Genomic DNA, 18,340 nt, shown 5'->3' on the forward strand with positions numbered 1-18,340 from the left:
GCAAATGGCTAACAGAAGGCTGGTGCTTTCGGAAGGAGACGAGCAACACAATCAACCAACCACAAGGAAACCAAGTAAGCCCATGAGGACTCCACACTTGGAACACTGTGTGTGTCTCCAGTTACTGTTGCCCATGCAGAAGACAATGGAATTGAAGAGGCCATCCAAAGGTCTGGGAGGAAGTAATGGGGAGGACAGTTTATTTATATAAGAGTATCTCAAGAAGAGATTAAGAAGACAAAGACGCTAGTCTGAAAGTAAATCTGAAGAAGAGTATATTTGTAAAATTGCTAAAAAGTTATATATACCTATGACTGTCATTTTCTCATTTCCCATTCCTTCAACCCATTAAGATATACCCTCCTTCTGTTTGACATTACCAGAATCACTCCTCTATTTTAATTATCCAATAATAGGTATCTTTCCCTCCAGCCATTCTTTAAATTAAGACAAGTCATACCCCTAAAACCAAGGTCTGATCATGTATTTCCTAAGTAGAAAACCCACAAGGACCTTTGTTCACTCAGCAATGAAAGATTCTGGAGCCATGGATTTCACAGCCTTTTGCAATATAATCTCAACTCGCATTTAGCGATTTCTCACTAGATGCTACCCCTCTCTTTATCCTTCCAATCTCAGCCTCTGATATCATCACTATAGTTAGAGGAGACTGCTCACTGTCCCCTGGATATGCCATTTATTTACTGCATTTGTGCCTCCGCACAGATGCCCAGTTTGAGATATCCCCTCTAACATCAATCTTCAAATCTCTGCTATCTCAAATACTTTTTATTGAAGACTTAGCTGAAATTTCACCTTTCTGTGAAATCTTCATCAATCTGTCAGTTAACATTATTTTTTCTCCTCTTTCCTGTATTCCTTAGCACTTTATTTGGCCTGTGTTATACTTATAATCCCATTCTTTGGGTCTCATTTCTGACTACCCCACTGGGGTAGGGAAGCAAGACATTTTAGACACATTTTGAGACTTTGAGGCTGATGTTATGAGGATAACTTTGCCTCTCTACAATGGAACCTCTGGTGCTGAAATCAGAAGACTGAGCTAGAAAAATCAGAGGCCTGACCCAGTGTGTCAGTTTCTGTCATCTTTAGCTTATCTCAGACACCAGGAAATTTATAGATTATATGTTTGCTCCACTAACATGATGAGTCTAATGCTCATGGGACAGCTAACTTCCAGGTAGTGATGACTGAAGAAGTCTACTTTATTTGCACTGAATGTTTATGTAGCATTGGGTGGATCATATTATGCAATATCTCTAGGCCAAAGCATCATTTTCCCAACACTCACTTTCCTAACCTTTAGATAACTTTATAAAATAATATGAGTCATGCGTTGCAAAAGATTACACCTTCTCCCTACAACAGAAGGGGAAATTCACTGATTTCCACTCCCTTTTCCTTATTCTCATAAATCATAAACTTAAATTTACCCTAGGGATTTTATTTCTTTGAACTCAATGTACAAGCATAAAACAAATTTTGTTCTCACAGGACATCCCATTTTTGTTTCATTAGTTCAAGGAAAGGGTCACTCAATTTTTAAAGCATTTGGTTTGATCTTTGCTATGATTCATGCTACCTAACATCCACAGACACACTCTATATACTGAAATGTATCTTATATATAAAATGTGTCTCCATGGACCCTATAATGGTGGTACTCTCACGTAAAGTACTCAAAAGCTGTATTATGGATACATGAGTCTAGGCAGGGTAACCAGAAGTAGAAAATAAATTAATTTTGTTGAATATTTAAATAATTGTTGTTTTGCCCAAGTTCCTATTACACGACAGATTTCTGTTTCTTCTTATGAAAGGTAAAATACTTCCCTGGGGCTACGGGAGGAAATGCTTGAAAAAATTTCACCAAATATAAGGCCTAGATTATACTAGTTCTATTTTATACATTTTTATTCTATGTTCAGCCATCTCACTGATATTTCATTCCACAGAGAGGGAGGTGATAAAATATTTTTTTAAGGTAATAAAGGAAAAAGGAAATAAAGAGGATTTGTCATAATTTAACTAGATAAAAATAATTCTTGTGATCTTAATGTAAGAATAGACTATGATCTCTAAAAGAATACTGAATTATGGAAACATGATTTTTACATAATAGAACCATTTACACATAGAATTTAATCCTACTAAACAATAATTCTTAAGGCTCTATTGGCTTATATACATTTTTGTCTCTAAATCCTTTCCAGGGCACCGTTAAGTTATTTTAAAATATTTCCTCATTGTATTGCCATGGAAGAGATTCTCCCTTACCTCTTCTCATGACCAAAATTCTATTTCCCATGCTGGGTATCGACAGGGAACCATGATCATCAACCTTTGCAGAGAACTTCTCTTCATGAGTTTAAGATCACAGAGATTTATTTGCAAAAACAAATAGGGAGAGAGATTCGGCTTAAAATTTTTTGCCAGATTATGGCCATTATTTAGTCTTAAAACCCTAAAGGTCTTAGATAGGAGGGTCAAACCTAGTACAGCACTGTTGGAGCCTGCAAATGGCAGCTGAACCTGGGAGGAACCAGTTATTTCCAGGGCATTTCTCTCCTATTTCCCACAGTAAAAAAGTTGTCCAATTTAGAGGCATTTGGTATAGCTAGAGTAAGGAGGTAAACAAACATGCTTTAGAATTCCATTTCATTGACAAATCTGAAACACAGATCAAATTGGCCTTATTCCAAGACTAAACAGCCCCCCAAATCATCTCATTTTGTACAGCAGAATCTCAGAGCTTCCAACCCACCTATGGCACAAGATCCTGGCCTCCAGTCAGCCAGCTAGTTATCCATGGAAGTGGCTCAAGGCTGACACTCAGATTGACTGGTTCACACTAATTTACTTCACACAGATTCCATTTATCTCCTAGAAGATCCCCTGGCAGCAGCTTATAATGGCATATCCTAGGATGCCTGCCTGCATGCGTGTTTAAAGCAACAGCGCTTGATGAATCTGAGTCCAGAAAACAGTTCACAGATTGAGGAGTAGGTGCAATCAGAAAACATCAAGAGGCACAGCTGGGACTTGGTGGCTTGCTTGACTGGTCAGAGCAGCTGAGCATTAAGCGTGTCTGCTTTTCTGCTGGCTGCTCACCATCACCAGGACAAATCAGAGAGCCACCCCCTTTTTCCTTTACCAGTCACCCTCCAAAGGAAAAGAGAAAAGAAAGTATGTCACCATCCCAGTAGCGTGTGCAGCTGTAGAGAAAGCTAATTTGATCATTTACCTTTACTTCTTAAATACTTCGATATTATTCTCAGTAGAACTACAGCTGGTAGTTCTAAGGTTAAGTTGTTGAATGGTTGGATTGGCAAGATGTAGTTAGAAAAAGTGGAAGAGAACTTCAACTTATTTTTTTTACTTTCAACAATGAGTCCCAAAGAGCTGTCTGAAACGCTATGATCATGGGGCTCATCGGTCGACCTCCAAAGAAAGGAAGGGTGCCTTTCTGGTTACTCTCCTACATCTATAAGAGAGCTTGGGGAAATATACAAAAAAGCTGGATATTTATCTAATGAGTAAATGGGTGGATGAATGTATGAACAAACAAGTCACTGTTCTCCAGCTGACGTTTTAGAAGTGTGGTGAACCATTGCACAGTAACATGGTCAGCCTCCAAAGGTGGAGAGAATTGAGATCTTTTAACGGCATTGAAGCTAAAAGTTTTAAACAATGACAATTCACTGAGAAATGTACCAAAGCAGTGACATAGCACATTTAGTACTTATAAGGTTAAACACTGGGCTGCAGTAGCTGCTTGACCGTAAAAAGTAGGATTAAGGCTTTTGCATGAGCCTTGACATGATCCTGTTGTCTGTCTGCTGCCTTAAGCTTTGAAAAACAGCTGGGATCATCTTCTTATAAGCTCCAGCTCAAAGATGTTTAAGCAGTCCCCAATCCAATTAAACAGAGGTAAATAGAAGGAAGAATTGTACTGAGCACCATCATCACCTTTTTTCTTAATGAAAAACAGTGTAATTGCGGGTTACACAGCTCCTTAATCTCACATTAAATCTAATAGATTGCTGACTTATACTGAGCATGACAGTCCCAGCTTTCTATATTGGTGTGCTTAATTTTAGGTCATTATCCTTTATTATGTGACTTGTAATCCTTAAAGCCCATGATTGTGTCTGGATATTTGGCAAGGATTGTATTTGGTAATACAAGGATTCTGCTTCTAAGAGTGATGGTTTAATTGAATGACATTGTATAATTATTAGATGTTCAGAGAATTACATATATTTCTTTCCTTTTTTAATTGGCTGGTTTCTTATAAGTGTTTCCTTCAACAAACATTGTTCAAGATTATTATTGAGTTTTAGGGGCTCTTCTGAAAAGGACAGCTTTCACAAATGAAAGACAAGTAGTTTATTGATATGGAAATGTATCTAAATGCTATTAAAATGCCCAGTTCAAATACAATCCTGGCTCATCTACAAACTGGGAAACCTTGGTCATGTTACTTTACCTTTCTGTCTCTGTTTCTTCATTTATAAAATAGCAATAGTGATGGTGCCTACCAGGGGCAAGAAACTGTTGTTACAATTATATGAGTTAAAACATGTAAAGTGCTCAGCCTAATGGCTCAAATGTAGACAGTCTAAGTAAATTCAGTATTATTATTATTTGTATATCTGTCTTTGTCTAGAAATATGCATAAATGTAAATAAGATGTCCAGCCTTAAGGTCAAGACATTTTATTTTATTTTACTAGCAATGTAGTAATATCTAAAATTTCTCTAACCTAGTAATAGAAGAAATATTTTAAATAGCTATATTATCTTGATCTTCATTGAAGACTGTAGAAATCTACAAGTTATTGTTAGTGGCCCCCTTTTATTTTACCAGTTTAAAGAGGCATGTCCATTTGTATCTATTAACTAAATAAAAACCTGTCCAAAGTCATCTGTAATTCTTTTTTCTTATCAAGAGTGCTGAATATGGAAGGAAGTAAAAGTGACTTCTGACAATGCTGACCAGATAACATAGAACCTCATTGGAAAGTTATTCTAAATAGCTTTTTTAATTTTTTGCTGATAAATTAAATAAAAATTAAATGGAATGGAAATGATGATATGGTGATATACTTTACATATATATTAGCCTTTTAGAGAACTGATTTGGGTTTGGAAATTTAAATTATTGTATGTGCACAATCAAATTTCAGCTTATGGATATGATTAGATCATAACATTTTAAATGAGCAACTATAATCTTTTATATTTCAAAGTAAGAACAGGTCTTGCACCATCACTTGTGCATGGTTCTTGATTGCTGCTTTTTTCCTGGTTTCCATTCACACATTAAGATTTAAGAAATGCTAGTATTGAAACTGAAAGTCTAATGAAGCTCAGCTCCGTCAATGGCAAACACATTAGTGGAGGAGGTCATTTGACGGTGTATACATCTAACACACAGAAATAGTGGTTTACTTGTTATTAACATTCTTCTTTTTCATTTCTAGGGTAGAAAGCACCATAAAACCTCATATAAAATAACATCAAAAAATTCTCTTTTTCTTGAACACCAGGTTAACATTGGGTGATGCGGAATGCATTATTATATCCATTTTAGTTAATTTTAAAGGTGAAAAAATAGACTTATTTTGGTTTATTATAAAAAGTTTTTTGCTGTGTTTTTATCTTGTTTGACCCAATATTTATACTGCTACCCGCCCTGGCTCACCCACCCCTAGACACACAGCAGATCACAGAATGAATCAGATCACTGCATGGTTCTGATCCTTCTATAAAAGCAGCTGAAATAACTGGATCAGAGATTTCATGACTGGTCTCAGTAAGTACATTTAGATATAAGTAGTGCCTTGCTTTTGGTCTTTACAACACATACTCCATGAAACTCATTAATTTGAACTTATAGATAATAGCAATATTCTATATTTGAGCAAATTTCAAAATAGTGATAGAAAAATAAGTGGGTCAAGTTACTCATAAGGGAAAAAAATAAAATTGTCAAAAGATTCTGATGACAACACTTTACCCCAGAAAATAAAGTAACATACTTAAAAATTTAAGAGAAAGAAAAAATTGAACTAAGATTTTCTATCCAGCAAAATTGACTTTTAACTAGAAAGGCTGCAAGTTAATATAAGCATGCAATAACTTAAGAAATATTGTTTAAATATGCCTTTCCTGGGTGACCTACTAAAAATGAGCTTTAGATAACTAGAATAATTGAAAAGCCATCAGCATCAGAATAAGAGGTAAGCACTAAATATACATTTACCTGTAGAACTAAAATCAAATGATGGTTATAGAAATATGGCTGTATTCTCTGACAATTCATAGAACAACTATGAAAAATGCAGGTGATCAGAGGGATATGGAGAGTGCATAAAAAGCAGGATAAGCTGAGTAATTACATAGTAATACATATACTTAGTAGTATATGTATTACCTGAGAGTAAAAGAGTATCATTTCAAATTAGATGCTGGAAGAGAGAAAGTAAAAATGTTAGTAGCAAATTATTTCATTATTGCTAATAGTTGAGGGCTAACTGGCAATGAGAAGAAAGGTAATACGTAAAGGTTTTAGCATAAAGGTAAACATTAGGAAAAAAAAAAACTACCAAATACTCCCTCAATACCTACATACAGAAAGTGAGAGAGAAAGAGAGATTTTGAGGAAAATAAAATGAAATAGATGACATAGTAAAAGAACATATATAGTTTCATATATTTGTGTCTATGTACAAACTTACCATCTTTATCAATAAATGTTAATGGACTTAATTCACCTATTAGAATAAAAGAGATTAAGATTGACTAACAAAGTAAAATCTAACACTATGTTGTTTTTAAAAAGATACATCAAAAACAAAGAGTTAAGCAAGATTAAAGATAAAAGGATAGACAGGATATAAATAAATTTTTAAAAAGCAGTGGTCACAATATTATTGAGCATGGTGGAATGCAAACCAAAGAGCAATAAATAAAGACACAGAGAAGAGTATTTCGTAATACTAAAGACTGCAATTCACAATGGAGGTATTTCAATGACTAATATATGTGTAAGTAATAACACAGCTACTTTAATAAAGCAGAGGCTAAAGAGAATGGAAACTAACGATAGATAATGTTAGCACATATCTCTGAATATAAGACACATAATGGGGACGAAATATTGACAAGAATATAGAAAACCTACAGAACTAAGTCAATAAAGTAGATGTAATAATCAAACTCTAATGCCAATAGTAGACAGTACACCTTGTACTTAAGTGCACATGAAACATTTACCAAAACTGGCCACATCTTATTTTCCGGAGTGACCCCTCCAACATTCCAGGAATGGAACTAGCACAGAAAACTTCTCTGATCACAACGCAATAAGGCTAGAAATTAGATCGTTCCACCTGGAAATTTCAAAACACATTACTAAATAATTCAGCTCAAAAGGGAAATTCAATACAAAACTGTAGAACTTAAAAAAATTGTAATAATGAAGACATAACAATACAGCAAACCAAAGGAAGAAAGAAAAAAAAAAAAAACAAGAGGAAAGAAAGACAATGAATTAGAAAGCAGTAAAAAGAAGAACAGGAGGAGCCAAGATGGCTGAATACGAACAGCTCCGGTCTACAGCTCCCAGCGTGAGCGACGCAGAAGACGGGTGATTTCTGCACTTCCATCTGAGGTACCGGGTTCATCTCACTAGGGAGTGCCAGACAGTGGGCGCAGGTCAGTGGGTGCGCGCACCGTGCGCGAGCCTAAGCAGGGCGAGGCATTGCCTCACTTGGGAAGCCCAACGGTCAGGGAGTTCCCTTTCCTAGTCAAAGAAAGGGGTGACGGACGCACCTGGAAAATCGGGTCACTCCCACCCGAATATTGAGCTTTTCGGACCGGCTTAAAAAACGGCGCACCACGAGATTGTATCCCGCACCTGGCTCGGAGGGTCCTACGCCCACGGAGTCTCGCTGATTGCTAGCACAGCAGTCTGAGATCAAACTGCAAGGCGGCAGCCAGGCTGGGGGAGGGACGCCCGCCATTGCCCAGGCTTGATTAGGTAAACAAAGCAGCCGGGAAGCTAGAACTGGGTGGAGCCCACCACAGCTCAAGGTGGCCTGCCTGCCTCTGTAGGCTCCACCTCTGGGGGCAGGGCACAGACAAACAAAAAGACAGCAGTAACCTCTGCAGACTTAAATGTCCCTATCTAACAGCTTTGAAGAGAGCAGTGGTTCTCCCAGTACGCAGCTGGAGATCTGAGAACGGGCAGACTGCCTCCTCAAGTGGGTCCCTGACCCCTGACCCCCGAGCAGCCTAACTGGGAGGCACCCCCCAGCAGGGGCACACTGATACCTCACAAGGCAAGGTATTCCAACAGACCTGCAGCTGAGGGTCCTGTCTGTTAGAAGGAAAACTAACAAACAGAAAGGACATCCACAGCAAAAACTCATCTGTACCTCACCATCATCAAAGAGCAAAAGTAGATAAAACCACAAAGATGGGGAAAAAACAGAACAGAAAAACTGGATACTCTAAAACGCAGAGCGCCTCTCCTCCTCCAAAGGAACGCAGTTCCTCACCAGCAACGGAACAAAGCTGGATGGAGAATGACTTTGACGAGCTGAGAGAAGAAGGCTTCAGATGATCAAATTACTCTGAGCTATGGGAGGACATTCAAACCAAAGGCAAAGAAGTTGAAAACTTTGAAAAAAATTTAGAAGAATGTATAACTAGAATAACCAATACAGAGAAGTGCTTAAAGGAGCTGATGGAGCTGAAAACCAAGGCTCGAGAACTACGTGAAGAATGCAGAAGCCTCAGGAGCCGATGCGATCAACTGGAAGAAAGGGTATCAGCGATGGAAGATGAAATGAATGAAATGAAGTGAGAAGGGAAGTTTAGAGAAAAAAGAATAAAAAGAAATGAGCAAAGCCTCCAAGAAATATGGGACTATGTGAAAAGACCAAATCTACGTCTGATTGGTGTACCTGAAAGTGATGGGGAGAATGGAACCAAGTTGGAAAACACTCTGCAGGATATTATCCAGGAGAACTTCCCCAATCTAGCAAGGCAGGCCAACGTTCAGAATCAGGAAATACAGAGAACGCCACAAAGATACTCCTCGAGAAGAGCAACTCCAAGACACATAATTGTCAGATTCACCAAAGTTGAAATGAAGGAAAAAATGTTAAGGGCAGCCAGAGAGAAAGGTCGGGTTACCCTCAAAGGGAAGCCCATCAGACTAACAGCGGATCTCTCGGCAGAAACCCTACAAGCCAGAAGAGAGTGGGGGCCAATATTCAACATTCTTAAAGAAAAGAATTTTCAACCCAGAATTTCATATCCAGCCAAACTAAGCTTCATAAGTGAAGGAGAAATAAAATACTTTACAGACAAGCAAATGCTGAGAGATTTTGTCACCACCAGGCCTGCCCTAAAAGAGCTCCTGAAGGAAGCGCTAAACATGGAAAGGAACAACCGGTACCAGTCGCTGCAAAATCATGCCAAAATGTAAAGACCATCGAGACTAGGAAGAAACTGCATCAACTAACGAGCAAAATCACCAGCTAACATCATAATGACAGGATCAAATTCACACATAACAATATTAACTTTAAATGTAAATGGACTAAATGCTCCAATTAAAAGACACAGACTGGCAAATTGGATAAAGAGTCAAGACCCATCAGTGTGCTGTATTCAGGAAACCCATCTCACGTGCAGAGACACACATAGGCTCAAAATAAAAGGATGGAGGAAGATCTACCAAGCAAATGGAAAACAAAAAAAGGCAGGGGTTGCAATCCTAGTCTCTGATAAAACAGACTTTAAACCAACAAAGATCAAAAGAGACAAAGAAGGCCATTACATAATGGTAAAGGGATCAATTCAACAAGAAGAGCTAACTATCCTAAATATATATGCACTCAACACAGGAGCACCCAGATTCGTAAAGCAAGTCCTGAGTGACCTACAAAGAGACTTAGACTCCCACACATTAATAATGGGAGACTTTAACACCCCACTGTCAACATTAGACAGATCAACGAGACAGAAAGTCAACAAGGATACCCAGGAATTGAACTCAGCTCTGCACCAAGCGGACCTAATAGACATCTACAGAACTCTCCACCCCAAATCAACAGAATATACATTTTTTTCAGCACCACACCACACCTATTCCAAAATTGACCACATACTTGGAAGTAAAGCTCTCCTCAGCAAATGTAAAAGAACAGAGATTATAACAAACTATCTCTCAGACCACAGTGCAATGAAACTAGAACTCAGGATTAAGAATCTCACTCAAAACCGCTCAACTACATGGAAACTGAACAACCTGCTCCTGAATGACTTCTGGGTACATAAGAAAATGAAGGTAGAAAGGAAGATGTTCTTTGAAACCAACGAGAACAAAGACACAACATACCAGAATCTCTGGGACGCATTCAAAGCAGTGTGTAGAGGGAAATTTATAGCACTAAATGCCCACAAGAGAAAGCAGGAAAGATCCAAAATTGACACCCTAACATCACAATTAAAAGAACTAGAAAAGCAAGAGCAAACACATTCAAAAGCTAGCAGAAGGCAAGAAATAACTAAAATCAGAGCAGAACTGAAGGAAATAGAGACACAAAAAACCGTTCAAAAAATTAATGAATCCAGGAGCTGTTTTCTGAAAAGATCAACAAAATTGATAGACCGCTAGCAAGACTAATAAAGAAAAAAAGAGAGAAGAATCTAATAGACGCAATAAAAAATGATAAAGGGGATGTCACCACCGATCCCACAGAAATACAAACTACCATCAGAGTACTACAAACACCTCTACAAACTACAAACACCTCTACGCAAATAAACTAGAAAATCTAGAAGAAATGGATAAATTCCTTGACACATACACTCTCCCAAGACTGAACCAGGAAGAAGTTGAATCTCTGAATAGACCAATAACAGGAGCTGAAATTGTGGCAATAATCAATAGTTTACCAACCAAAAAGAGTCCAGGACCAGATGGATTCACAGCCGAATTCTACCAGAGGTACAAGGAGGAACTGGTACCATTCCTTCTGAAACTATTCCAATCAATAGAAAAAGAGGGAATCCTCCCTAACTCATTTTATGAGGCCAGCATCATTCTGATACCAAAGCCGGACAGAGACACAACCAAAAAAGAGAATTTTAGACCAATATCCTTGATGAACATTGATGCAAAAATCCTCAATAAAATACTGGCAAAACGAATCCAGCAGCACATCAAAAAGCTTATCCACCATGATCAAGTGGGCTTCATCCCTGGGATGCAAGGCTGGTTCAATATACGCAAATCAATAAATGTAATCCAGCATATAAACAGAGCCAAAGACAAAAACCACATGATTATCTCAATAGATGCAGAAAAGGCCTTTGACAAAATTCAACAACCCTTCATGCTAAAAACTCTCAATAAATTAGGTATTGATGGGACGTATTTCAAAATAATAAGAGCTATCTATGACAAACCCACAGCCGATATCATACTGAATGGGCAAAAACTGGAAGCATTCCCTTTGAAAAGTGGCACAAGACAGGGATGCCCTCTCTCACCACTCCTATTCAACATAGTGTTGGAAGTTCTGGCCAGGGCAATTAGGCAGGAGAAGGAAATAAAGGGTATTCAATTAGGAAAAGAGGAAGTCAAATTGTCCCTGTTTGCAGACGACATGACTGTATATCTAGAAAACCCCATTGCCTCAGCCCAAAATCTCCTTAAGCTGATAAGCAACTTCAGCAAAGTCTCAGGATACAAAATCAACATACAAAAATCACAAACATTCTTATACACCAACAACAGACAAACAGAGAGCCAAATCATGAGTGAACTCCCATTCACAATTGCTTCAAAGAGAATAAAATACCTAGGAATCCAACTTACAAGGGATGTGAAGGACCTCTTCAAGGAGAACTACAAACCACTGCTCAAGGAAATAAAAGAGGATACAAACAAATGGAAGAACATTCCATGCTCATGGGTAGGAAGAATCAATATCGTGAAAATGGCCATACTGCCCAAGGTAATTTACAGATTCAATGCCATCCCCATAAAGCTACCAACGACTTTCTTCACAGAATTGGAAAAAACTACTTTAAAGTTCATGTGGAACCAAAAAAGAGCCCGCATCGCCACGGGAATCCTAAGCCAAAAGAACAAAGCTGGAGGCATCACACTACCTGACTTCAAACTATACTACAAGGCTACAGTAACCAAAACAGCATGGTACTGGTACCGAAACAGAGATATAGATCAATGGAACAGAACAGAGCCCTCAGAAATAACGCCGCATATCTGCAACTATCTGATCTTTGACAAACCTGAGAAAAACAAGCAATGGGGAAAGGATTCCCTATTTAATAAACGGTGCTGGGAAAACTGGCTAGCCATATGTAGAAAGCTGAAACTGGATCCCTTCCTTACACCTTATACAAAAATCAATTCAAGATGGATTAAAGACTTAAACGTTAGACCTAAAACCATAAAAACCCTAGAAGCAAACCTAGGCATTACCATTCAGGACATAGGCATGGGGAAGGATTTCATGTCCAAAACACCAAAAGCAATGGCAACAAAAGACAAAATTGACAAATGGGATCTAATTAAACTAAAGAGCTTCTGCACCGCAAAAGAAACTACCATCAGAGTGAGCAGGCAACCTACAAAATGGGAGAAAATTTTCGCAACCTACTCATCTGACAAAGGGCTAATATCCAGAATCTACAATGAACTCAAACAAATTTACAAGAAAAAAACAAACAACCCCATCAAAAAGTGGGCGAAGGACATGAACAGACACTTCTCAAAAGAAGACATTTATGCAGCCAAAAAACACATGAAAAAATGCTCATCATCACTGGCCATCAGAGAAATGCAAATCAAAACCACAATGAGATACCATCTCACACCAGTTAGAATGGCAATCATTAAAAAGTCAGGAAACAACAGGTGCTGGAGAGGATGTGGAGAAATAGGAACACTTTTACACTGTTGGTGGGACTGTAAACTACTTCAACCATTGTGAAAGTCAGTGTGGCGATTCCTCAGGGATCTAGAACTAGAAATACCATTTGACCCAGCCATCCCATTACTGGGTATATACCCAAAGGACTATAAATCATGCTGCTATAAAGACACATGCACACGTATGTTTATTGCGGCATTATTCACAATAGCAAAGACTTGGAACCAACCCAGATGTCCAACAGTGATAGACTGGATTAAGAAAATGTGGCACATATACACCATGGAATACTATGCAGCCATAAATAATGATGAGTTCATGTCCTTTGTAGGGACATGGATGAAATTGGAAATCATCATTCTCAGTAAACTATCGCAAGAACAAAAAACCAAACACCGCATATTCTCACTCATAGGTGGGAATTGAACAATGAGATCACATGGACACAGGAAGGGGAATATCACACTCTGGGGACTGTGGTGGGGTGGGGGGAGAGGGGAGGGATAGCATTGGGAGATATACCTAATGCTAGATGACGAGTTAGTGGGTGCAGCGCACCAGCATGGCACATGTATACATATGTAACTAACCTGCACAATGTGCACACATACCCTAAAACATAAAGTATAATAATAATAAAAAAAAGAACAAAGAAAGAAATGCAAAAGATACTTTTAACAAAATAATCAATAAAACAAACAAACCACTAACAAATCTAATCAAGAAGCAAAGGGAAAATTCACAAATACACAAAATCAAAAATGAAAGGGGAAGGAAAATGACTATCAGTAGAGAGGAAATTTAAGAAGTCTTAAGCGATTATAATGCTCAGTCTATACAAATTAGTTTGAAAATCTAGATTAAACAAGTAATTCTCTGGAAAACTTGGTAGTGATAGAAAGAGTAAGTAGACAATTATAGTAGAAATAGGGAAAGAAAAGCCATTAGACAAAATTAAATGTCCATTTATGTAAAAATACTTAATAAAATAGGATTGCTGGATATTTCTTTGATATGACAAAATACATAAGCCTTGGCTCCAAAGCCAACAACCTACTTAATTCAGAAACATCAGTGATTTCCCATCAAAATAAGGAAAACAACAAGGATGCCCACTGTTACCAACAACTATTTAACATTGAGTTGAACATATTTACCAATGCAATTAAGCCAAATGGAAACACCAAGTCCTGGGTTTAAGCGATTCTCCTGCCTCAGCCTCCCGAGTTGCCGGGATTACAGGCATGTGCCACCACGCCTGGCTAATTTTGTATTTTTGGTAGAGACGGGGCTTCTCCATGTTGGTCAGGCTGGTCTCGAACTCCCAACCTCAGGTGATCCACCCGCCTCGGCCTCCCAAAGTGCTAGAATTAGAAGCGTGAGCCACCGTGCCTGGCCTGTTACTATTATAATATCATTCATTCTATAAACAATGAGTGCTACTGGGTGACAGAGCATGTGGGAGGTGCTGGGTATATAGCAGTGATCAATAATCTTTGTATTCATCAGGTCTCAGTGGTTGTAAGAGCTAAATATTTACACAAAGGATGCTCACCACAGGGTAACAGGAACAGGGAACTTCTGAAATTTATTTGTAGGAAGAACTACACCAGCCTTTTTTGGTTGCCACATCTGGAACAAAAGGATTTCATCCACTTGTTCTGCCTTTGCTTCATTCAGCTTTAAGTTCAGGACCTCAGAAGAGATTAATTGGTTGAGCTAAAGAAACCTGCCCATCCTGTGGCCATACTGTGGTAATGATAGAGGAATTGATCTGGTGGTAGGCGCTTCAAGCATGCTTAGGGCATCTGAAGGAAGAGGACAAATTAATTCATTGTTTCTGCAGGAATGCACAAAAGAAAACTAGGGTGCTCTCATGGTAGCAGTAAATGCTGGACAGCAAAAAAAGAAAAGAAAAGAAAAAAAAGAAATGTTGCTGATCTCCAAAGGTTGATGACGTCTTTGTAATTGACCACTTGAATGACTTCTTTGTACTTGACCACTTGGATTTGTCTGCCATATAAGTCTATGCTGAATGTGAGGCCACCTTATCTGGTGAAAAATAACCAGTATAAAATCTATCATAAAGTGGTCACCAACTCTGCTTACTCCCTATAGTAATTTAGAGCTATGCTCTGATCATCTTCTACCTAAATCATCTTTTCTTTCAATAAAGTAGTGTGTGGTAGCACTGAACCATATACCTGTTTTCCTTCTAAATGCACCCGTGGTAAGGTATCTTTTATAGGTAAGACTTCTTAGGTAGAAGAGAAATAGCCAGTGCCACCATGCTCCTACAGAATAAACAGGGCAGGCCTGATGGGAGGGCTCGGGCTCTCAGATGCAGCAGGGTTAGTTTCTGCCATGCACTGGGATTGGAATTCCTGTTGTGCATCCGGATCATGTACAGAATTTCGGCTGACTTCAAAGAGAGTGATTTTGAGAAGAGAGAGTTAGTTGCCAAAAGGAGAAAGCAAGGCATTAATCTTTGATAAGCTCCATTTACTAATTTATAAAGGCAATGGGAATTGGGGTGAGGTTAAAAAGTAAAAGCTGAGGGAACTATCTGTAGTGAATGCTAATGATTTTCTGACCATGTCATGAACTGTGCTTTTTTTTTTTTTTGGTGGGGGTTGAGGTGGGGAACTATAGCATGATTATAAAACGTTACATACTATTTAGTAGTTTATAAGTGTTTGTAAGATTTTTTTAAAAACTAGTTCTGACCCCTTAAAATGGAAGAGCTATTTGCTAGAAGGGGCTTGTAAATCACAGCAGTTACAGGAGACATGTTTAGAATTCAGAGTCAACAGAGAGAGATTAGCATAGACAGCAATGCAAACAGTGTTTCCATTTTTTTGTTCATCTTCTTTATATCAACACAGAGAAGACTGGGAATGAAAGGCAAGAAGCTCCAGAAAGAATCTGGAGAAATTTACAGAAGAAAGAGAACCAATAACCATGCCCCAGGTATAAAGAACACAAACATCTAGGTAGGAACTATTTCAAACAGTTAAGTATGGATGACGTTTATTTATTCTTAAGGATTTTTATTTCTTTTAGCATGTTATTCTTTCAGTCATAGGCATATTTGGGGGACCCAGTACGTCACGTACTGTCCAAGGTGCTGGGGAGAGGAAACAACAATAAAAGATAGGCATGGTTTGTGCCCTAACAGATCTTATGGTCTGACAGGCAAGAGACATTGAACAAGTAATTACAGTCGCATGTGATGAATGTCAAGCTGGGCTGATACACAGTTCTTTTGGAACAAGCAGCTAGGGGACACTGGACCATTTTGTTTCTTGAGAGAACTAGAGTGTAGCTGATAGACTCTGCTCAAAAATTGTCTATTCAATTTTCAGGTTTGGATGTTGACATATATATACTTTACACATCTTGCATCTTTTAATCCTCAAAACGACCCTGCCGAATAGATGCGTGTTTTCCCATTTATCGACCAGAAAATTTAAACTCAAGGTAGCTAAATTAACATGCCCTTTTCACACACATAATAAAAGCTAAGGCTGTAAAAATGGACCTGCTTCAAAAACAAGCTGATTTTAGGATTTTTTTTTAAAAGATGAGTAACAGACTGACAAAGGGAGATCACTAAAGGAACATTTCAATGGTTAATTACACCAATATAAAGGTGAAGGGTTATACCTAAGGTCACGTAGGCTTTGGTTTTGGTTTTATAGTTAAATTAACATAAAAATGAAGTCTTACTCTTAGGCTAACTTAGGCTTTGGTTTTACAATAGATCAAAGGTGATCTGTTGCCCAGACTTTGGCCTTATTTTTGTGCCCAACTCTATAATACATATCCAAATTCAGGTGCCTAAACCGAAGGCCCCAGATCTAGGTCCCAGGGTTTCCCAGAGTTATTTTGCCCATCTGTGCTTATTTGCTTTCTCTTTCATTCATGCAGATACTTTCCTGAGTGAACTTTTGGTGTCCCCTTTCATAATATAAGCTCCAGAAAGCGGAAGTTCAATTAAACCAGAAAAACCTGTTTAATTGAAGCCAACCATTGTTTATTGAACACTGATTGGTGGAAAGCACTGTGGTAAGTGTTGAGGAAACAAGCTTGGTAAGACACAGTCTGTGCCTTATGTTTGCTTCCCACTCTCATCAGTCTTGACCAGGGATTGGCAAATGTTTTCTTAAAGGTTCAGATAGTAAATATTTTAGACTTGTGGGCCATATAGTCTCTATCAAAACTATTCAACTCTGCAGCTGAAGCATGAAAGTAACCAAAAACAATACATGAATGGATGGGTGTGGTTGTGTTCCAATAAAACTTTTTTTACCAAAAACAGATAGCAGGCTGAATTCAGCTTATGGTTTGCAGACCTCTCGTCTTGACCATTTCTGGTTAGTGCATCAAGCCACCAGCTGAGCTTCAGTTTTTATATAACAGTGATAGTCATGATATGAATTGGGAGCTTATCAGAATCTCTGAGCATAAGATTATAACATAAACATCTCTCCATCCTTTTATTTATTATGCATTAAACAAAAAACTTTCTCTGCCTACCCCTTTAAAGACTCATTCAACCACCACTCTGCTCCAGCAGAGAAAAAGATGTGTGTTTTGGTTTCCTCCACAAGGAATGATTAGGGAAATGGTTAGAGACTTGCTGTATAACATTAGAGACTTGCTCAGATAAATAGGCCTTCACTTTAACTGTGGTATAAATGAAGCAGCCGAGAGAATGACAGCATCATTAATTCAAGGAATATTTATTGAGCACCTACTATGTGAAAGGTCCTGGAATACAGGTATTAGAGAAGTGGTAAACAAAAGACACAGGCTCTCCATCTCTTATAAAGCTTAGAATCTGACTAGGAGACACACAATCTGTACATAAACACAAAAGATATAAATGATTATTAATTAAAAAAGAAAATGAGTAATATGAAAGAAATTCACAGTTTGTCATGAGAATAAATATGGAGTGAACCTAATGAAGCTTGGAGGTCAAGGAGGATCTGTTTAAGGAAATGACCTTTAAACTAAGACCTGAAAAATGGGCAGAAATTAGGTGAAGAGTAGGCAATGGGAAAGATTACAGGTTAAATGGGTGTCACTTGAAAAGATTTGTGAAGGTTCTGAGGCAAGAAGGAGCTTGGCCTGGTCTGGGGAATGGAGGATGGCCAGTGAGACTGGAGGTCAGAATACGGGGAGGTGACTGGCAAAAATGAAGCTGGAGAGGAGAGAGGTCAAACCACAAGCCTAAGAGCACTTGTTAAGCATTTTGTATTGTATCCTAAATGCAATGAGAAGATGTTGAAATAATTCACGCAGAATTGGCATGTTTAGATTTACATATGT

At 38.2% G+C, this 18,340-nt stretch overlaps 1 protein-coding gene and 1 long non-coding RNA gene across 14 annotated transcripts in view; one reads left to right on the forward strand and one right to left on the reverse strand.

Annotated features, from left to right (window-relative positions):
- LOC105370826 (uncharacterized) overlaps positions 1 to 18,340 on the forward strand; it is a 107,205-nt gene that overhangs the window by 87,236 nt on the left and 1,629 nt on the right. For 2 of the 3 annotated variants that reach the window (XR_007064643.1, XR_007064644.1), the window contains exon 6: positions 1 to 4,947. This is a non-coding gene — a long non-coding RNA (uncharacterized LOC105370826). Of the gene's footprint in view, positions 4,948 to 16,933; positions 17,072 to 18,340 lie in introns of those variants that run through there. The other variant, XR_007064645.1, reaches the window with a different exon arrangement.
- WDR72 (WD repeat domain 72) overlaps positions 1 to 18,340 on the reverse strand; it is a 249,138-nt gene that overhangs the window by 19,290 nt on the left and 211,508 nt on the right. Inside the window, exon 1 of one of the 11 annotated variants that reach the window (NR_102335.2) lies at positions 7,860 to 8,073. The exons of 8 other annotated variants lie outside the window; for them this stretch is intronic. Coding sequence is in view for 1 of the 3 variants with exons in the window: in NM_001277176.2 (NP_001264105.1) it covers positions 7,945 to 8,050 (106 nt within the window). In the remaining 2 variants the exon portion in view is untranslated. Of the gene's footprint in view, positions 1 to 7,631; positions 7,823 to 7,859; positions 8,074 to 18,340 lie in introns of those variants that run through there. 2 more of the 11 variants (NR_102336.1, NM_001277176.2) reach the window with 2 other exon arrangements.

The sequence above is a fragment of the Homo sapiens genome, chromosome 15 (genome assembly GCF_000001405.40).
Source record: "Homo sapiens chromosome 15, GRCh38.p14 Primary Assembly".
Classification (NCBI taxonomy): Eukaryota; Metazoa; Chordata; class Mammalia; order Primates; family Hominidae; genus Homo; species Homo sapiens.